Consider the following 20,027-nt stretch of genomic DNA (forward strand, 5'->3'; position numbering starts at 1 on the left):
GAGCGCAATCCAACTTGTTTCAGGTGACACCCTGAGGAGACAAGCAGAGGACTTTGAGGACTATGAAAGCCATTTTTTATAGTCACTTGCTGAAGCTCAGCTGACCCTCCCAGGAAATGGAAAGATTGAGGCAGGCCCAGGCACTGCAGTCTGTGGCAACCGGGTCAGGAAGGCGCGCTGAAGTTAATTATCCAGCCTGGCATCCCCACAAGCTTGCTTGTTTGGTGTTGCTTCTTTCTTAATCAAGAAGAGACTCCCATGGTGGTGTCTTAATGTAAACAAAGCAATTTGTGACTTGATTAACAAATCAAGGATGGACAAACATGTCCTTTTCTCCCTTCTCCTCTTTACTAGGGACTTGGACTATTTTAAGGAGTGTCTCTCGATGTGAAAGGCAGTGGCTGCCTGAGGTTTGTCTGGTTTGGTGTCTTCCTGTGTTTCTCCCTTCTTACCACATCCACAGCAAGGGATTCATTCTAGGCATTCCATAGAGACTGAACCCATTCCTTCTGTGTCCTGGGAAATGTAAAAGTTGGAAATGCAACCCCCATTAAAAGCAATTCAACATGTGATTTGTCCAGGTGATGAGGTATGTAGCTAATATTAGTCGCCGTGATTTATCGAGAGAATAACTACCTGGTGATAGATTTTTCATGAATGTATCTCAAGTCATCTATCACTGTGACAATGAACTTTTCATATCTGGGCAGGCCTGTGATGGTTACAGAAACCAATAACTCCTTTAATAGAACTGCATGTCCATTAAATTACTGGAGGGAAAGAAAGAAAACAGGAAGGTCTTACAGCTAAAAAGGGCACAACATAGGGGAAAAAATAACAAAAAAAGATTCTATGACGAGACATTGTGAAAAATCAACACAAGGTTTTTGTTTTGTTTTGTTTTGTTTTTTGTCCTTAGAAATTAATTCTACAATGTCTTCTTTTTCTCACAAACACCATCACCCCACGTTGAAATGAAGCTGCTGTCTCCTCTGAATGCACACATGGACAAAGAAGGGCCCTGAGAAATCCCTAGTACACATACATCCTGAACCCTCAGGCCTCACTGGTGTGATGTGTTCCCTTAACTAAACTGGTACAGTGCAAATAATGACTTGTACTAGTTTTCTATTTGCAGTTTTAACAAATTTCCACAAATTTGATGGCTTAAATAATAGGATTTTATTATCTTGCCATTAGTTCTGAAGGTCAGAAGTCTGACATTGGTTACTGGGCTAAAATCACTGGGGCGCATTTCTTTCTGAAGACACTAGGGAGGAATCAGTTTTCTTTTTTTTTTTTTTTCTAGTTTCTAGAGGCTGCCCAAATTCCTTGGTTTCTGGCCTCTTCCTCTATCTTCAAAGCCAGCAAGGGTGGGTTGAATCTTCCCATCACATGACTCTGACCTCTTCTTTTTTCCTCTTCCACTTTTAAAGACCTTTGTTATTACATTGGCCTCTAGGGATAATCCAGGATAAACTCCCTATTTTAAAGGCAGCCGATTTAGCAGTCTAATTCCACCTGCAACCTTAATTCTCTTTTTACCACATTAACTAACACATTTACGGGTTCCAGGGATTGAGTCACAGACATTTTTGCAAGGACGTTTTTCTGCTTACCACAGGACTTAAATTTATTTGTTGTGTTTTTTCTTTGTGTTTCTTTGCCTCAAAATAGTAATAGAACAAGCAAAGCGAAGTGATCTCTTAAGGCAGGTTCCCCAAACAGGTTAGCATTCAAAGGTCAGCTCTCGCTCTTGCTCCTTGCTGGTCTTAGGCAAGTTACTAACCTCTCTCCAAACCTCAGCTCATCATCTGTAAAATGGGGATAATACAATCCTCTTACAGAAATTGTGAAGGAGATGGGATGATGTTTGTAAAGCTTCACCGTAACACCTAGCATGTAGTAAGTGCTCAATGAAAGTTAAAGTTTTTAAAAAGTTAGAGTAAATGTGGTGGGGTGGGAGTGATGAGAGAGAAGAGACAGTGCAATCTAGATCTCTGTACCCTGAATCCCCCTAGATGGTTCAGCCTTCCTTGTCGCTCTCCATGGGTTGGATCCTGCTCACAGAAGCCTCTCAGACTCTCTGGGTGGGTGGGAGAGGAAAAGAAAAGTTCAGCTGTCATCTTTGCCGCCCTTGTTCTGTGGTTGCTGTTTTCTTTTCCTTTGCTGCCTCCTTCCATCGCTGGCCCTCCACTGCAGACAGGCCGGGGGATCGCAGCCTCGGTGCAGAGCTGGCTCAGGCTGAGTGTCCCGAATGGAAACTGCAGGAGCAGTGGGGAGACATGCAGCTGAGCCCCACCTCTGCCAGTTCACAATCACTCACTGAGCCAGCCCAGCACGGTCCAAGCCCTAAACTCCCCGAGGCATTTTGATTAGATTAGCCAGTGAGAGCCAGGGTCTTCCAGGACTAGTTATGCCTGACTTTGCACAAAAGTCACTCCCTGCGAAGCCCTTGCCACTGCTCCTGGGGAGGGGAACCCAAAGTCCAGCTGACCCTTCCCCACCAGTGCAGGAGGACACTCTGGTGGTGATCAGGGCCTGGGAGGGACCCAAGGAATCTAATGCAGATGGTGGGAAAGCCTGACCTTCCAGAGCAGCAAGGTTACTTACTGGGTTGACAAAAAAGGCAAAAAGTGTTAGCATACAGTGTTGATAAGGATGCAGGGAATCTCTACATCCTTTGGGAAAGTAAACAAACATCTTCTCAAATGAAAAGCACACATACATACCTTTCTGCCCAGCAATCCAACTTTGATCAAGCCTATTGTATTGAAGAAATTAAAATACTAGTACATAACGTTGTTTGAACAGGAATATTTATGAACACAATACTTATACAGTACAAAAAACCTTGAAAAACTTAAATATTCATCAATAGAAGGAATTATGTCACCATTTAAAAGGAGATATTTAACTATTGCTCTTGAGGAATTTGGTTGCAGAGAAATACATATTACAATTTTGCAGAAATGAAACAAAGCGAAACCCAAAGCCAACCTCCATATATGTATGTGTGTATATGTGTGTAACAGCACGGGGAAAGGCATGGAAGAACACACGTCAACCTGCTACCATTTATTAGTGGAGGGAGGATGTTTTCTTCCCTCTCTGTACTCTTGAATTGCTTCATTGTTTACAATAACTTCATTACATTTTTCAATGTTGGGAGAGGAATTTAAGATAAATGGTGGGAGTGAGCGGGGGCAGGGAAGAGAAGTTGTCAAGGAAGATACAGGAGAAATCCCATGCTGGGAGAACCTGGCCACTCTAGTTGGGGGTTTGCAGAAAGCAAAAGCCAGGGGTCTGGCCTGGGCACTGAGGGGGATGGGGTGGAGTAGAGTCTGGGGGTGCACACATTGTTGAGCGACCTGGCTATTTGAACTCAAGGAGCTTATCTAGAACATCCTTTGAGAAGGCCAGAGAGGATGATGGATCACTGGGTAGTAGCCTGCAGTAAGAGGAATTTAAAACGCTTTACCATAAAGAATAACTGCTCCCAAAATATTAAAAGAATGAGGTTCTCAAGGTTATTTTGAAGAATTCGGTGAGATCCACCTGAGGAAATTAAATTAGTACTACCTAGCACGAGGTAACTGGCATGTTGTCCGAAAGAGCTTTACCTATACTGTCTCATTTGATACAAGGTACAATCCTATGAGGTAAGTATTATTATCGTTATTTTACAGAGGAGGAAACTGAGGTATAGCGGGGTTCAGTATCCCGCCCATGGTCATGCAGGTGGGAACAGGAGTGTTCCGGCTCCGAAGTCCTGGCTCTTGGAAGCCACACTAAAGGCTGCGTCCTTCCAGGGCGCAACTCTGGGCGCAAATGTTACACTCTCCTCCCCTCACCCGGTGGGGGTGGAGTGGGGAGAAAGGGCCTTCTCCGTGCGCCTGCCGGGATGGCCGGAGTTCGGTGGGGCCAAGCTGAGGTTCCTCTCCTGGGGCTGGGCAGGGTTTGGGCTAACTCTTCTCCCGCCGGCATTCGGGTTTGGGGGCCGAGGCTGCCCAAGAGTTAACCTCCAAAAGGGCCCTGCAGGGGGTGCTTTCTCTACACTGTTCTTCTCTTGGGTAGTGGAGGGGTTGGTGGGGGAACCACAAGCTACAAGATTACAAAGTTGCTAGACTCCTTAGCCTAGGGAGGTACGATGATTTGGGACCGGGTGTGGAGGTGTGGGCGGGGTGGGGGGTGCGGTGTCTTCCGGAGCCCTAAGCTGGCGTCCTCAGCCGCTCCTTTCCGTTCCTACCCCCCACCCCCAGCTCACCACTTCGTTTTCACGTCTGGGAGGGGAGCGGGGGGCGGTGATGGGGAGGAGACCAACGCTTTGATTTCCCCTGGTAGGTGTTCTGAGTGGCTAGGGATCCTTCCCTCGCGTGCCCCTGGGTCGGGGCGGTAGACAGCTCCAGAGGATGGACGGCCAGCGTGAAAGCTAGAGCTCGTGTATTGTAGGGAAAAGTGGGGGTGGCGGGGAGATAATGGTTGAATACCTTCCTGATATTTGAGGGAGAATTCGGCAAGGGGGAAATCTCTGGCTCCATCTTTGGCTGACTCATCGGATTTCCTGGGGTGGGCTCCGGGAGAAGGCTCGGGGCTGGCGCTCCTGCCTCGGTCCGTCCAGCACCAAGACGCCAGGTTCCCGGCGGCCCTGGCCCTCTGGGGGTACTGATTACAGTGGAAAGATCTCTGCGTCCGCAGAAGGAGAATTTGTGTCAAGGTTCTTGTGCGCCTTTTCTTCTCTGGGGGTTCTGAATGAAAATAAGTCCCAAGGTCATCTTTGTCCCTTAGCTCTTGCCCAGAGCTCTATCTGCGTCTCCAAGCTTCTCCATCATCTCCTTTTGTGTTTCAGGTGATCGCCCACCTTTCTTCCCTTCTAACCCTACTTCCGGATCTTTTTCCCCCTCGTTTCTCCCCGTGTCCCCCATTTTCCACGCTCGAGTCCTTTTTCTCGTGCCAGTTTCCTCCCTCCGTCCGATTTCCTTTCCCACGGGCCCTGGAGTTCCTCGGGCCCAGGCAGGGCTCTGGAACTGGCCTGACATGTTCATAATAAGGATTGTCAGACACGGTACTCAAGTGAACTACCTTGTCTTGAACTTACTAGGACAGAGGATGTGATAAAGGAGGTCCTTCTCTAATCCCAACAGCTCCTCAAAGGCTCGAAGCCAGCCTGAGTGGGCCACTTGAAGAGCCACGGGCTGTGGGAAGATACGGAGAGGCTACTCCGACGTGGGGAGGAGGTAGGTATGACGATGTCCTCTGTGCCTGAAGCCCACTCCGTCCCACTCCCAATACTCCCACCATCTCATCAGTGGGGCATGCTCGCCCTGGTTAATGTCATCTCCCTGAACTGCCAACGAGGCTAGCAGCTTTGCTGCTTAAAACCGGTAACATCAACCAACATATGGAGATGTCATCATGATTAAACGGCAAATTATAGCCGAAGACGGCGCGATAATAATCTAAACAATCACCACAAGAAGAAACGTTCTCTAACGCTCCAGTTGCGGAAGCCTGCGTTTCCAAGACTCGCGGCCCTGCGTTCCCAGGGATATCTCCGTGCTCACGTGAGCGTGGTCCTCGGCTTGGGACAGACAAGGGAGCCCCAGACAGGACGATAAGGTTTGGAGATTCCCAGGGCGATCTGGGACTCCGTGGCGTGGGGGCTTGGAAGCGCGTGGAGGGGCTGAGAGAGGGGAGAGGGCGCCCTTCCTCTAGGGCGGCCCCGTCTGGGAAGCAGTTGGAACAGCAGTAGGAGCCAGGGGTTCCTAGAGAAGAACCCTGTTAGGAGAGCAGACCAGCCCGCGCTCCCAGTCCCCGCCCCCTCGCCCCTTCTGCCCCGCCCTTAGCCTGCCTCTTCCTAGATCTTCCAGGACATTGATTTCCGAGTAGGAAGCCCGCGCTGCTAGGGGAGGGGCGTCCTCTGTGGGTCGTGGGGGGGTTTCCCTTCTCTCCACAGTCGGAGCAGAAGGGCGCCTGCCTTTTATTTTGACAAGCAATGGGCTTAGTTGTGAGCACTTGTTTGCCCCCAATATGTAGAGGAAAAGATACTGATAGGAGGCGGCGTGCTACGATGGCAAAAATGGAGAAGACCCTCCCTCTTTATCCTGGTTCTCCTCCTTGTTAAATAGATTCGTATTTAAGATAGGCACAGACATTCTAATTTGAATTCCAGGGGTTGAACTCCAGTTAGAATCATCCTATTTATACGCAGACCGAAAATAACCATTGAAACGAAACCAACAAAATGCAACTATTTTCCAAAACCCCGAGCGTTTGCTGGTGGGTGACCACCCCGCGCAGGTAGCGCGGATCTGCTTTGGTTTTGACTGAGAACCCGGGTTTTGACTGAGACCTCCGTCGGGAGGAGGGGACTGGGTGGGAGTTAGCGGGCGAAACGATTCCCCGGAGTGGCCCCGAGCGGCGCGTGCGTGAACGCGCGGCCGTAATATATGCTGCCATTAAGAATCCGTGCAGCTTCCAGCGCTCCGGGCGCAGGGACGCATGTGTTGCTGGAATTCAATCCGTGGGGGGAATGCAGATTGGGCTGCGACTCACTGGGTTTGATTTATGAACTGTTACACTAGCAATTGTTTACACATTGCATTTCAGAGCCCGGGCCCACCCTCCCCGCAGCGGGCGGCGGGCTTCGTGCGGGAACCTGCTGCAGCCCCCTTGGTCTCTCTCCATCCTCCTCCCTTCCCCCGTCCCCCCCCCCCGGGGCCCCCGCAGCTTCCTCCCACAGCCACCTTCTCCAAGAAATCAGATTTCGATTTCTCTGAACCCAGAGACCTGCATGCAGTTCTTTCTCCCCCGCCTACTCCAGGCCTGCAGTCCCCGGACCCGGGTCGCCTCTGCCCATTTACTCCGGAATGTTTACTTCTCTTTAAGGCCATGCGGGGCCTATAAATAGGAGAGGTGGAATCAGCCCCACTGCCAGATCAATAGGGCCCGTCTCCTCGCCATTTCAGCTGAGCTGTCTTATTAATTATGAAAGGATTCACCTGATCCCTGCCAGGGAACACAGCCTCTCGGCCCCTCTGCTGGAGCCCTTAATGGCGGTTCCTTCGCAAGCTGCCTCTGGCCACCGCACAGGAAGAGGCGAATCGTGGTTAGGCCGAGCCTGCGAGGATCGTGGTTAGGGCTCCGGCCCGCCTGAGGCGGGGGCAGACGGCCGGCCACTGGCATTGTCTGCCTGTGCGAGCAAGCCCAGTTCCTCTAAATCTCAAACAGAAAGAATCTCTGCTTTGTAATTAATTTAAAAACAACTTTCATTTTCTCTTTTTTAAGGAAGCACGGTTTCGGGGAAGTGGCCAAGTGGCTTAAGTGAGGAGGGTCTGCTTGAAGGTGGCAGGTCTGCTTGAAGCGGCTTCCTGAAGAGGTGAGCTTATCACCGGCATCCTGTGTCCCTTCAGGTTCCCTGAGAACTGGGTCAAGAAAGCAGGTTGGGGTAGGAAACAAACGACACCCCCATTTCAAACAATAACTTTTATTTTATACTTCTCTATACTTTGTAGCAAATCTTTTTTTGCTGAATTTAATTTATAATAAACTTTTTAAATTACATCTCTCTCTCTTTTTTTTTTAAAATCAAGGCTCTTTTATGTCAAAATCTTTTTTTAGCTATATTTTAGATTAACATTTAACATCCCCCCCTTGTGATCTATACCGTTGGATATTCAGGTATTACTGTGTGTGTAACAGCTAAAACAAGAGGGAGGAGGGAAAATAAAGGCAGTGAACTTGGACGGATGCATCAACAACAGCAGATAAAGCTAACCCCTCAGTGACCATAGCAGCATGTCTTCTGGAAGCCTTTACTCTTACCCCAGAGATTTCCTCAGCCCCTTCCCTCTCTCCCTCCTATCCTCCAAACACAAAGCCAACAGTCTGTCCTTTCGCTTTTCTTGAGGAGAAATGTGCAGTGGAAATGATCAAAACAAGATACTGTGGAAGAACGACGTGAGCGTGAATTATTCACCGTATGTTTCGTCCGTGGACATCTCTCTTGAATTCATTCCCCTGGCCTTCTCCTCTCCTCGCCTTCCTATTAGGAGGAGCCCATCATTTTTCATGTTACTAGCATGATTAATATAGTAGGTGGCCCAGGGCCGTTCCTGAGATTCTTTTGCCAACAAAAAAAATTAATAATAATAAAATTAAAAAATGGGGTGGGTTTGCCGTTTTCTTATTTGTGTGTGAAGACGGACTAAAGCTGAGGTCCGATTTTGGCTGTGCTTGCTTGCTCACTGATTGGTAACATTTGGCAAATAAAACACAAGAAATCAAACGAAATAAAAAAGAGAATCAGGATTTCCCACAATCCTATATGAGTGTTTTCAGCATCACAGAGAATCACAACGTCCCCAAAGAACTAATGGATCTTCCTCTCGATTTCCGGGAGCATGGAGTGAGTGTGGGTGGGCGCGCGGGGGGAGCTGGCCCCACGCTCAGAAGGAAAGCCAGGTCGCTAAAGCTGCCGAGAGAGACACCAGGAGCACCGGGAACGCCGGGAGCAGGGACCCCGCCGCCCCGTTGCCGCTGCCGCAGAGTTCGAATAAGCTGCCTTGGATGTTGAGGTTTTTGGATTCTTTTCTCAGTTTATCCCACATATCTTTCGCCCCTTCCTGGCAATCCGTAAGGGCTGTGACCGTGCAGCTGTGGAAATCCTCCCAGTATCTGGTGAGGAACAGAACAAAACAGAACAAGCAGGTTCACTTGGGACGCCGGGAACACCCCGGGCTTGCGCCCCTGCGCCTCCCCGCTGGCGGCCCCGCCAACTTCCCGGGGTGTCCCCTCCCTACCTTCTCTTCACCGCCCTGGCGCCTGGCCTGCGCGAGGTCGGGACTCGCGGGACCTCCGCCTACCCCAGAAGCGGCTGTCTAAAGCGGGGGTGGGGGGGCGCCCCCTCCTGTCTGGTTTTCCCTTCCAGTTGCCGGGAGAGGACTAGGCAGCCGGGAGCCGGGCCGTGCACCCGCTGTGGCGCGCTGGCACCTCGGCCTCCGCAAACAGATTGCTCGCCCTCCTCGGGGAAAGCTAGGAAAACAGTGCTAAGCCTCGCAAGCTGCCGCCCATTAATGCCTCTTAGCTTGCAAGATGGGTTACTAGCTCTGAGCACGGCCCTCCCCTCGGGGCTTCTTACATTCTCCTCCCCCTCGCCCCTTCTGTCTCCCTCCTTCTCCACGCCGCGGTACTCTCGCCTTCGCCCTCATTCTCTCCCTCCACCTACTACCTCTTCCTTTTGTTTTCCGTTCTCCTGAATTTCCCTTTCTTTCTTTTTCCGTTCCGTCTGCTTTCCTCTCTTCTGTTCCCCACTTCCTCTTCCTCCTTCCCACAACCTGCCTGGATCCTCCTTGCTCTCCACAGTTCCCGGCTCAGATTCGGCCTGGAGACTCCTGCCTGCCTCTCTTCTCCCCGGGGTCGGTGAGTGTTAGTGGCCGAGCACCTGGGGCCGGCCTCGTAGCCTTCATCTGCTCTTGCGAATCCAAGTGTCCCAGGCCTGCGCGTTGGGTCCCTCCTGTTTCTCCCTCCCCAGTCTTTTCCGTGGGCTTGGGCCCCATGGGGCTTCCTCCCCACAGCTTTCAGGATGTAGCGCCAGCCTCCAAGGCCGGAACTGCGGGGAAGGCGTGGTGCCCACCTCTGCCAACCTTCGAGGACTCCCCACCCTCTGTCCTCCTCTTGCGGTCAGTTCACGGAGCCTGGCGCCTAACTCAACCACTTCCTCCTCCCAGGCTCAGCTCCTAGACCCACCCCCACAACCTTCATCCAACCTGTCCCTTTTGACTGTCCCCCTTTCTTCTGAAAACCCAAAATAGATCCTGAGACTAAATATAATCCCAACCCGTGATCGATTCCTGGGGCGCTGTCTCCTTTCAGAGCTGGGTCGGTCTGCGCCTCTCTGTAACTCCGGGCTGGTCCCCACCTGCCCCGGGCCTTGAGCACCAGGTCACAGGCACCTGCCTTCTACATGGTTTGGTTGTATTTTCTCCTCTCTCTTCCTTCTGCTGGCTGGCCTGGACTGTAAGCACATTGAAGGCAGGCACTGTGTTAATTTATGAGTACTGGAGGGACACAGAGCTTCCAGGTTCCTCAACTTGTAATAAACAGCAACATTTGGACATTAGGAGGCCCAGGGAGGACAGCTTTCCTGCAGACTGTCTGTGGAATTGCCCCTGCTAAAGGATGCCTAAATTGCTCTTTTTTTTTTTTTTTTTTTTTTTTTTATGTACGCCCAGATGAGGGCAGAGTTCTGAGGGACCTGGTAGAGAAGGATAGACTCCACCTGGGGCTGGGCAGAAGTGGGCTTCAGCTCCGTGTTGAGCAAACAGCTCCCCCAAATGAGTAGGGCCTGGACCTAGCCGTGGCCTGTGACCTCAGGAAGGAGTTCTCACTTTCCTGTTTTCCAAGACTGAAGTTCTGCTTAAAATTAAAATAGCTTGGAATAAACAAGTTCCACCAAATGACAGAGGATTTGGGAGCTGCTCTATATGCAACCTTTTGTTATCCTTATAGATATACATTCTTATCCATCACGAGACTTTTAGAATTAAATGACTTTGTCCCTTTCATGATAGGAAAGCACTAGCCATTTAGCTGCTATGGCTCCTAGTAGGCACTGGGGCGTTTAGGAAATAGAGTAGCAAAATTGACACCATTTAATTTAGCAAAACCTAAACAAACACCCGTCCTTCCACCAGTCCCCTTTGCCCCAGTTGGGGAGTGAGGAAAGACTTCACAGTATACAAATGATGCCACAGAAAATGGTCACTCTAACCTCAGGGAATAAGGGGCACAACCTGCCTTGGCTGTTTTGAAACAGTTATTTTGGGGGTGGGGGAACACAGCTGTTTTTTGCAAAATAAAAGAATGGGTGTTGCAGAGGACAGGGGTGTTTTCTAAGGTCTGCAGCAGCTAGATTGCTGCAGGTCCACTGCAGTAGGGCTCTGCTGGTTACCTTATTGCTCGTGGGAGCAGTGCTTTCTAGCCAAGCTCTGAGAAATCACCACTGGACCTGGCTATGAACTACTACCCATCTCTCTTTACCTTTGAAGCTGTCCAGGTCTGGGGACGCCTTACAGATGTGCGAGGGGGCAAGGGAAACAAGGAGAGTGCCTATTCCAAATCTCGGAATCTGCTGTAAACTCAAAGCGACTATCACTGGACCACCACCTGGACTCACTCTTTTTGGGTAAAGTCACTGGCACACAATAAGATAGCGTTTCGGCCTGTCTCCTAGAAAACAGGAAGGGAGACCTGTATCTCCTTGCCTGTGCCGGCATTTCCTTGGTGTGTATTAGAGGGGCGTTTTGTCACGAGAAATGGACAGAAGAGAGGAGTGACTTTCCCTTTAGGCAAATGTAGTATTACCCCAAACACTCCTCAAATCCAAACTAACTGTTCTTCAGAGAACACCTGGCAGGTCACTCGTTCACGCAAGAGCAAAGAATGATCAAGATTGCTACAAGGCAGAGAGATCTTGCAGCACCAAGATTTTGTAGCAATCCTTCATGCCCCTTGCCCTGGCTCCCAGCATGTCGAGCATGCGCACCTCTGTGCAAGCCTGAGAGGCCGCGTAGAGCTGGGACTGGGTCTATATTGAAGGATCCTCCTCCATATCCCACCCCGGGCTGTGGGATCCCCTTGGGAAGCGCAGGTTCTAACCCGGGGGCCTGGTCCTAGGCCTGGGGGTTGGAGCCAGAAGGCAAGAGTGAGCCGATGCGGATTCGCGCTGGCGCTGAACGCTGAGCGCAGGCGGGGAGGCTCGGCACTCTCCGACCTCAGTAGCGCCCCCAAAACCGAAGTCCAGCCGGCCAGAGAGGACACTTACGTGCACACGGTCTTGATGTTCGTCTTGTCGTCCAGGCCCTGCGGGTAGTTGGCCATGCTGTCGCCCAGCTTGAGCAAACAGTCCGAAAAGCCCTTGAAGACCGCATCGCACTTGCCCGCTGCTCTCACGGCCTGCACCAGATACGCTGCGGGGAGGAGGGAACACCGGTCAGCAGCGCCACGACCCCGCCCTGCCGCCCACTGCCCTTTCCTGCGAGACCCTGGCTCCGCGCGGCCTCATCGCATCGGGCGGCCTCTCCCAGCGCCCAGCCTCGGGGCTCGCCAGTGTTAAAGGTGAATGAAAGACGTGACCCAGGAATGCCCGACCTGCAGCTAACGCTGCGTCTAGTGCAAATTGTCGGTGTGTGAGCAGGTGTGGGTGGGTGGGAGGTAGGTGAGTCCATTCCTTTCCTCCAGCTCCCTCCCGCATCTCGCTCCGTATCTTTTTCTGTTTCCATCGCCCCCTCTTCTCACCTCCCTCATCCCTTTTATTTCTCTTTCTCCTCGCTCCCTCCTTCGTCTCCCAACACTTCCCCAGCAAGCCCTGTCACAGCTCTCGCAATGCGATCTTCCATTTTGAGGTGACAGAAGGGGTCTCGGCTGCAGCGTGCGGGGGCGAGAACGGGGTGGGGAGACGACAGGGCGTGGGGTCACGCAGCTGAACCCAACGCCACATCACGAGAATAAGCCTCAGGCTTGGCGCTCTGTCCTTGGTGGGCGCTCAGCAAACACTGCTGAATGAATGAACGAATATAGTCCCTGGAAGCCACCAGCAGTTACCGAAATGGATTGTTTCATTATAAAACCGATTGCCTACCGTGGACTCTGTATTCCGAGTGAGACCCTCGGATGCACCCTCTCCCGCCCCGCTGGAAAGAGGGCAGCCTGGACGTCCTGAGACCTGGCGCGGATGATGAGTGGTCTGGAGAGGAGAAGGCCAGAGGCCGGGCGGGGTCACGGATGAGTCTGCCTGGGTCACCTCCGCAAAGGCCAAATCCACGAACCTCGGGCCTCTTTCTCTCCTCCTCCCCTGTCCGCCACTCGGCTCCCCAGACACCCTTAACAACCCACCCGCCCGCCAAAAAGCCCGCCTACACTCCGGACGGCAGCGGGGAGAGGCTGTTCTTCTCCAGGTGCCAGCCCTGCTGCTGAAAGTGAGCTCGCCGCGGCCCGGGGCTCCTGGCCCCAGCTCAGGACTCCCTGCAGAGAGCAGGCAGGGATAAAAGCTGAGCGGCGGGAGGAGGAGGAGGAGGAGGAAACACAGGCCGCACGAAGGTCCAAGCCCCAAGCCCCCAAGCCCCCGGCCTCTGGACGGCCAAACCCCGAGGCGCGGGACTGGAAGGACAGGTACCAGGCTGCGGGCGCGCGGCTGTGGCCATCTCTTTCCGCCCTGAGGCCGACGAACCCGGCTGGAAGCTGAGTGCCTAGCGGCCCAAAGCAGCCCGGGCGCCGGGAGGGCGCCAGAGAAGCACAGCGTTAGGGCGGGGAAGAAAGGGTGAATCTCAGAATCGAAATCCGCACTGGCGCCCACGACCCTGGGCGCCGGCCTGGTCCTCGGCAGCTTTCTGGCGGCTGCGCTTGTGTGTGAATGTGTCCCGGGAGGACCGGACACCTCAATCCCCCGGCCCCCAACGCGGGCGCCTGTCCGCGAGCGCCGGGCCAGACGCCGAAGAGGAAGGTGACCGAACCCGTAGCAGCTTCCGAGAGCGTACCCGTTTGCAAATTGCTGCAGGAAGAGCGAGGCGGGCCTTGCGCTTTTTAATCCGGAACGGGAAGCACTGGGGAAGGGACCGAGGTTAACTTCGACCTCCGCTGGGGCAGATACGTAAACCTTCTCAAACCTCCGAGTTCACCTTACAGCGAACATTAAATACCCTTGCGACTACAATACTAACAAATCGAACACTGACGTAAAATCTTAAGAATAAACGAATCTTTGTTCTGATAGAGCTCGTTCAAAATGGAAATACACTCCACACATCTTCCTCTATAACGCATGTCACAAATACAGCTTTGCAGAGAAGAAACGAAATAAAATAAAGTCCAATCTCCCCGTCCACGTCTCTCCCCACCCCTTGCCTACACCCCCAAAACTCAGTGGCGAAAGAAGCCCCTAAAATGCATTGACATTTTTTAAGGGGAATTGGGGCTCGCCGGGGGCGGGAGCGCTCTTGTCACGTTATCTTCCCAGGCGCTGCTGGAGAAGACCCTGCACACCGCGCATGTGTGAGTGTGTGCTGTGTAAAATAAGTCGTGAACATTTCTGTCTTTTAAAACTGTGACTCCTTGGACTCTAGCCTTCTCTGGGAGGCCGGGAGGCTGCGCGCGGGACGGATTTTGCAGGCGCACGCGTCCCAGCAGGTCGCAGCCCGTGGGTCCCTCGCTGTCCTTCCTGAACCCCGCTTAGGCGAGACTCTAGCGGGTGACCCTGGCTCCTTCCCTGTCCTCTCTGCCGTCCCCTTCTTGTGCGGTTTCCATCCGTTCATTCATTCGTTCGACCTCTCATTCATTCCGAACTTCCTCCTGCTGCGTCTTCTTTCGTGTTCACCACACTCTTCTACCTCCCCGCCCCTCCCAACCCCCACTTTTCTTGCCAAATGTCAATGATTTGGGACAGCTCCCAGCCGTGAATTAATAAAGACCGAGGTTCTGTTGCAGGAAAGGGCAGACATTAGGGAACAAATACGTTCAATTTCAATTCCACAGTCAACAAATAGTCATTTTTGGACCGAGGTTAATGTGTTCAAAACGCGTCCCTCAGGCACGACCACCGTCTTTTTTTTCCCTCCAAACCTCTCAAAGTAAGGTTATTTCCTACCGGGAAAACAGAGTCCCAAATCTTGTCCGATTAAAATTTCTATCTCAAAAACAACTCTCTCTCCTGCTCTCTAAAAATTCAAAGGTTTATTGCAAAATGCCACATTCACTTATTTCCAACATTTAAGGAATTTGCTGCCATTAGAAATATTATTTACAGCAGCTCTTTTCACTAATGTCAAAGATTCAAAACAACCAGATTTAAAGCATTGTCATTTTTTGGAACTAAAGGAAAACACCAATATCCTGCACTCACACACTCTAAAATCTTTATAATGTTTCTGCATTATAAAATCTCAAAATCATGTCAGTTGCATAAAACCCCACTGCAAAGAATCCATTTTAAGGTCTAGAGAACTCCAAACCTTGTTTCCTTCACATTTCTTATGGAAAAAACATATTATGCATTCTCCTTTCTTGCCCCAAACCAATTACCTAAAGCACCCCCTCCCCCAATACTGCAAGGATTTGTCTGCAAAGAATGCCACAGCCTGAACTGATAGGAGGTAACAATTCCGTTTCAGGAGTTTCTTTTTTCCCCCGTGTTGTCCATTCTATTAATAACCTGCTTCACTTTCACTTTTAGGCCACGTTAATTAATGTTCTGACCCAGTGTCGGAGAAGGGGGTTTTCTAGTGCCCTCTTCTATATCTTTTCTTCATTCTGGATGGTAAAAATGTGAACTTTAAAAAGACCCCTGACAGCGTAACTACAACTCAACATTCCTTAACATAAAATGGGGACTAAATAATTCCTTCCATAACCAATCCCAAACAAACAAAAATAACAAACACCCGACATGACATATTCCAAACACTTCTTAACCCTTTCCTATATATAAAATGCAGACACCAATGTGTAAAGTAGCAGGCAAATGCATCTAGAAAAGTATATCTACGTAAATTTGGCTGAATTCATCCTCTTCAATGGTAAGCATGTTAAAATATGTGGTCTGAAGTTCCCTATCACTCTCGATTTGCCCACCAGCCGGGTCTGCGGTGCCCGTGCAAACGCTGCAGCTAGGATATAGGGGGGAGGAGGGGCGGGAGAATGACAAAGTTCTAAATGCAGCAGTCTGAGCCCTGGAATATCTTTGCTTTCAGCACATAAACTTTCCAGTCCTGGCTGCCTAGCCATTTTATTCCTGCATTCACATTTCGACTCTTCAAAATCATATCTTGCAGTATCGCAGGGGCCAGTACATTGCCCCAGAGCGCACCAAACCTGGTATAAACCCAGAAAGGGAAACAAAAATGGATGTGTGCTCAGGAAAAAGGGGGAAAAAAACCGTGTCCAGAAAATGTCCGGCCGCACACATTTCCTGGCGAACATTTGGAATCTATAGCTTTAGGAAAAACCGATCTGGGACGCGCTAGTCCCCAGGAACTGATGCCCCCACCCTCGGGGGATTGCCGGCTTCTCCGCACCCTGGGGCGGCCGCGGACCCGCTAGTCCCCCTCCGCGCCTCGGGCCGGGGCAGGCTGCCTCCCGCCTCCAGCCTCCAGCCGGGCTGAGCGGCCACTTACCTATTTGCACCGCGAGGATCAGTGAAATATATCTGCCGTTCAACTTAAGTCCCATCCTACGTTTAGTCAAACCATTTGCGACCGCAGACCTTTAAATAGTTAGTTTAGAGAACGCGGGGGAAAGCCAAAAAATAGGCATTGCCAACAAGTTCCGGGAGCGACAGAGACTTTATGCACTGGGAAGGCAGAGGGAGGAGAGAAAGAGAGGGAGCGAGGAAGAGACAGAAAGAGAGAGAGAGAGAGAAAGAGAGAGAGAGAGAGAGGCTGAGGGGGGGGGGAGAGCTGGGAATGGTTCACTCCATTAGAAGGGGGCGGAGGAAGTACAGCCTCACGCCCACGAGCAGGCCTGACGTGGGGGATGACACGGAATGATTTTTTTTTTAATATAGACACCTTGGTAGAGAATCGCCATTTATAGTCATCAGAAGCTGGAATTAATCAGATATCTCCAATTAATGTGCGATCTGAACGAAATTTTGCCTCCCGGGGGTGAGCACTTTCCTATTCTAGCGGTCACCCCTGCCTCTTCCTCGTTCCGGGGGCCCCCCAGCCCCGCCGCCTCCCTGCGCAGAACAGGGGCTCCCCCTCCCTTCCCCGCCAGGAGCTGGGGAGTCCTGGCGCGCCCACTCGATTGTTTCAACCTGCTCCCCCTCCTCCATCAGCACCACAGAGAATCCAGCCCGCTCTCTACGATGCAGGGGGGTTTAAAGGAGCGGGAGAGGGAAAAACAGCTAAGCTAGCTCGATTAATTCGAAAGCGCTCCTCGGCCGCCCGCCCCCTGCGCTTGCCTACCCTCTTTTTCTCCAACCCAGCAGCTGAGCTCTGGGCGCAGCCTGGAGCGCGTGAGCACGCAGCCCGGCCCCCCGCACGAGCACACACACACACACACACACACACACACACAAACGCGCGCGCGCACGCCCGCCAGCCGCGCCGAGCGCCCCCATGCCCGCCCGCACACAAGGCACGCGAGCGCGCGCACACGCCCAGGCCCCGGGGGTTTGGTTTGCACACGTGGGGCCCCAGAAATAAACACCGAATGTCCTCTGAATTTTACCCACCTGCGATGCCCCAGCGGGCCAAAGGCCGCTTCAAGGGACACAGCGACACCTGTTTTAGGGGGCGAGTAGGGCACCGGGGAAGGAGCCTCTGATAAGACAGTTTTCGGATACTAGTGATTTACCAACCAACTCTCAGCGCTTTAGGAAATTTCCAAGGCAAGCGCTGGTGTGCGGACTTCTTTCTAATCTTGATGCGCCTCTTGGGCTTATTTGTTGGGCTACACACACACGTACCCACACGCACACACGTACATCACGTACGCACACGCACACCCGGACCCACACACACCTGCACTGTCTTTTGATGCTCAGGCACAGACCCTGTGTAGGTGTAGCCTACCCTGCAACAAAATACTTCTGCAGCTGGCTTTGTGCTAGGTGCAAGCTGCTATCGACGACAGCTTGAGTCAAAACCGAAAAACTAACAGGGCTATTTCCTTTCTAAACGCCTTTAAGCTCTGGTTTTCTTCCTTTCTTCTGCACCAAACAGAAAAAAAAAAAGTCTAAATTGTAGCGTCTTTAATAAAATGCTAAAGAAGGCATTGGCCAGCTTTAATCCTTAAGCCTGTGGAGAGAAAAAAATGAAAACGACCCCCCAAATTTTGCCAAACTACACTAGAGGACGTCAAGCTGTCAAACTGTAGAAATGCACACGGATTAAGGAGAAGCGTTGAATTTGCTTCTACAGGCAGCTTGCCCTCTAGGGCCAATCTTGCCGTCCCCATACTCAGATATTTGGAGATGCATAGACAAAGGGGGAGAAAGGTGCAAAATAACGGGGGTAGGACAGGCTGTGGAGGGTAGGGGGCCGAGGGGAAGCTGCGGGGGTCCTACTGCAGCACTTGGTGACGTGAGGTGTCTGCAATGTGCGGCCCCTAACTCACGTCCCGCGGGAGCCTCAGACTCCCATGCAGCCTTCCTGGCCCTGGGGGCGGAGTCATGTCTCCCCGCCCCTGGTTATGTCACCGGCCTGCGGGCGGGGCGGTTGGGGGCTCGCCTTCCGGTGTCCAGGGGCACGGTGGCGGCCCCGGGTGTTTCCTTTCCCCGAGCTCGGAGGCTCCGGGAAGAACCGAAAACGTGGGCGGACAAGGGGTGGGGCGGGGGCTGGTGGCGAGAGGGGGGCGTTTCTCGGACCCTCCCCCGACGTCTTCCAATGGCAGGGCGGGAGGCTTTCCGAGGGGCGGGGCCTCAGGGGGGTTGCCACGCGGCCCGGCCCACGGCTCCGCCCCTCGCTCGGGGTTCCGCGTGGGGCCGGCCCAGCTTTCCCGGACCAGGCCACCAGCTGCGGGCCCCCAACCTCGCTCAGACTCGTGCAGAGCCCAGGCTTGGGAGTGGCTTAAGGTTTTTTGCCCTCAACGTCCTTGCCTTCCTCCTGCTTATCCACCTGGGATCTTCACAGCATCATTTTCTGGGATCCTCTCCAACCCCTCCCCTGTAACTCTGAGCGTGGGGCGCTGGGGATGTGGAGTAGGCAGGGCTGAGGGCCTCAATGAAGCGGGTGAACCCACGCGCGTGCGCACAGCCGCCCGCGCCGCGCCCCGGGCCGATCCGGTTCTTGCCCTTGGGACGTGGCTGCGCCTCACCGCCCTACCCCGGGAGGGAACCCCCGCTGACTTTTTCCTCTCTTCATTTTCCTCCCCAGGCGTCCCAACCTCCCTCATAGGCCTGAGTCTTTTTAAAAGTGAAGAAGAGAGAGGCAAACAGAGTTGGTACTCTACATAAATGATTTTCTGGGTAGATAGATGCACATGACATTTTATTTTTTGAAAAATTCTCATCTTTTAAATTACAGGTCGTTCTGCAGTCCAGGCTCCATGCAGGGTTGATTCTTCGTAGTTCTTTAATTAAAGGATATTGCATTTCATGGTTGTCAATGCATGCTGTCTGGGAACGGTAGCATCCATGGTTGGAGGTGGCTTTGGAGAACGTTCCCTCTTTTATTAATGTGAAAAGCTCATCTCACATCATACTTGGGGTTGAAGATGCAGTGGGAAGAGCAGTGAACAGGGGCAGGGAAACCCAGCTCACAGGCTGACCCCCACACTTTGGAAAATGAAGGAGAGTGGACTATGAAGTAATTTCCAAAGCTGTTTTCACCTTTGAAATTTTGTGAACTGAGGATTTTCTAGAATTCTGTGAATGGGATTAGGAGTGGAAACGCACAATCCGAAGAATAAAATCCGTGCAAGAGTGCTTTTTATAAGCCAACTTCTTGCAAAGAACGTATTTCTTTTTGATAAGCAATTTTGTTTAAAGAAACAAATACAGTTCAGGAGAGGGAAAAAGTCACAGGTGCTGTTTGGGTCTGCATGTTGAATTGAGCCAAAGTAACTCCCAAAAGTAAGTCTGCATAATTAAGGTAATAAATATGCAAAATTCCTTATCCCTAGAACGGCCAGAAAGAGACTATGTCTAATTTTAAGCCTGGTGGGCACCAACTTCCTTTCTCGTTTCATGGCGCTACAGCCCTAGTCTGGATGAGCAGTATGCCAGTTGATTCCCCAGCTCCTGCTATGAATCCATCATAGGTCGGCTTTCCAGAAGCTGCCACCTCGACAAACAACCCTTTGAAATTATTTGCAAGAGCAGTTGTCAAGGCCACTAGGAAATCCCATCTTTGTATTCTAGGTCAGAAAAAATCGCTGCTCTATTAGAATAGATTGGTCTAGCAATACATCTCTCTCATAAATTTAGTCAGTCATTTAAATATCTTCAGCTAAAACCTTTAATAAAAATGTGAATTTATATTACATAACTTTTCATTAAAATGATAACTATACTGTATTTAAACAATCATATA

General features: G+C 51.5%; 1 protein-coding gene and 1 long non-coding RNA gene across 6 annotated transcripts, besides 6 other annotated features; one reads left to right on the top strand and one right to left on the bottom strand.

The window, feature by feature from the left end:
- Positions 1 to 357: 357 nt before the first annotated feature.
- LOC105374898 (uncharacterized) lies at positions 358 to 7,563 on the top strand. Its single transcript, XR_926413.4, has 2 exons — positions 358 to 5,237; positions 7,288 to 7,563. It is a non-coding gene; the product is annotated as an uncharacterized LOC105374898 (long non-coding RNA).
- Positions 7,323 to 8,522: an enhancer, noted in NCBI's record as "CDK7 strongly-dependent group 2 enhancer chr6:5998084-5999283 (GRCh37/hg19 assembly coordinates)". NCBI's record gives its function as "activates an origin of replication core promoter dependent on BRD2, BRD4, P300/CBP, MED14 and CDK7 cofactors, with strong dependence on CDK7, by STARR-seq in HCT116 cells {active_cell/tissue: HCT116}" and the evidence as "EXISTENCE:reporter gene assay evidence [ECO:0000049][PMID:35650434]".
- Positions 7,323 to 9,086: a biological region, named in NCBI's record as "CDK7 strongly-dependent group 2 enhancer GRCh37_chr6:5998084-5999283".
- NRN1 (neuritin 1) lies at positions 7,471 to 16,990 on the bottom strand. 5 transcript variants are annotated; one of them, XM_006715106.4, is made up of 5 exons: positions 13,175 to 13,497; positions 12,919 to 13,023; positions 12,641 to 12,745; positions 11,825 to 11,969; positions 7,471 to 8,676 (listed from the first exon to the last, which is right to left on the bottom strand). In XM_006715106.4, exons 1-5 carry the CDS (start codon positions 13,200 to 13,202, stop codon positions 8,448 to 8,450), a joined length of 612 nt encoding a protein of 203 aa, XP_006715169.1. In that variant the 5' UTR covers positions 13,203 to 13,497; the 3' UTR covers positions 7,471 to 8,447. The 5 variants fall into 5 exon arrangements, with proteins under 5 accessions (XP_006715169.1, NP_001265639.1, NP_001265640.1 ...); NM_001278710.2 differs by lacking the exons at positions 12,641 to 12,745; positions 12,919 to 13,023; positions 13,175 to 13,497 and adding exons at positions 16,167 to 16,255; positions 16,959 to 16,990; NM_001278711.2 differs by lacking the exon at positions 12,919 to 13,023.
- Positions 8,180 to 9,086: an enhancer, noted in NCBI's record as "H3K27ac-H3K4me1 hESC enhancer chr6:5998941-5999847 (GRCh37/hg19 assembly coordinates)". NCBI's record gives its function as "activates a minimal SCP1, AML or CMV promoter by ChIP-STARR-seq in naive and primed H9 embryonic stem cells {active_cell/tissue: H9 hESC(naive and primed)}" and the evidence as "EXISTENCE:reporter gene assay evidence [ECO:0000049][PMID:30033119]".
- Positions 9,087 to 9,992: an enhancer, noted in NCBI's record as "H3K27ac-H3K4me1 hESC enhancer chr6:5999848-6000753 (GRCh37/hg19 assembly coordinates)". NCBI's record gives its function as "activates a minimal SCP1, AML or CMV promoter by ChIP-STARR-seq in naive and primed H9 embryonic stem cells {active_cell/tissue: H9 hESC(naive and primed)}" and the evidence as "EXISTENCE:reporter gene assay evidence [ECO:0000049][PMID:30033119]".
- Positions 13,037 to 13,861: an enhancer, noted in NCBI's record as "H3K27ac-H3K4me1 hESC enhancer chr6:6003798-6004622 (GRCh37/hg19 assembly coordinates)". NCBI's record gives its function as "activates a minimal SCP1, AML or CMV promoter by ChIP-STARR-seq in naive H9 embryonic stem cells {active_cell/tissue: H9 hESC(naive)}" and the evidence as "EXISTENCE:reporter gene assay evidence [ECO:0000049][PMID:30033119]".
- Positions 18,328 to 18,447: a silencer, noted in NCBI's record as "silent region_16878". NCBI's record gives its function as "represses an Ori minimal core promoter by ATAC-STARR-seq in GM12878 lymphoblastoid cells {active_cell/tissue: GM12878}" and the evidence as "EXISTENCE:reporter gene assay evidence [ECO:0000049][PMID:35858748]".

This window comes from Homo sapiens, chromosome 6 (assembly GCF_000001405.40).
Source record: "Homo sapiens chromosome 6, GRCh38.p14 Primary Assembly".
NCBI classification, from domain to species: domain Eukaryota; kingdom Metazoa; phylum Chordata; class Mammalia; order Primates; family Hominidae; genus Homo; species Homo sapiens.

Coding starts and splice junctions, on each gene's coding strand:
- NRN1 (XM_006715106.4), bottom strand. CDS start 13,202: ATGGCCACAGCCGCGCGCCCGCAGCCTG. Junction 11,970..12,640: donor CTCGGAATACAGAGTCCACG/GTAGGCAATCGG, acceptor TCCTCCCCGCAG/CGTATCTGGTGCAGGCCGTG. Junction 8,677..11,824: donor AACATCAAGACCGTGTGCAC/GTAAGTGTCCTC, acceptor GTTCCTCACCAG/ATACTGGGAGGATTTCCACA.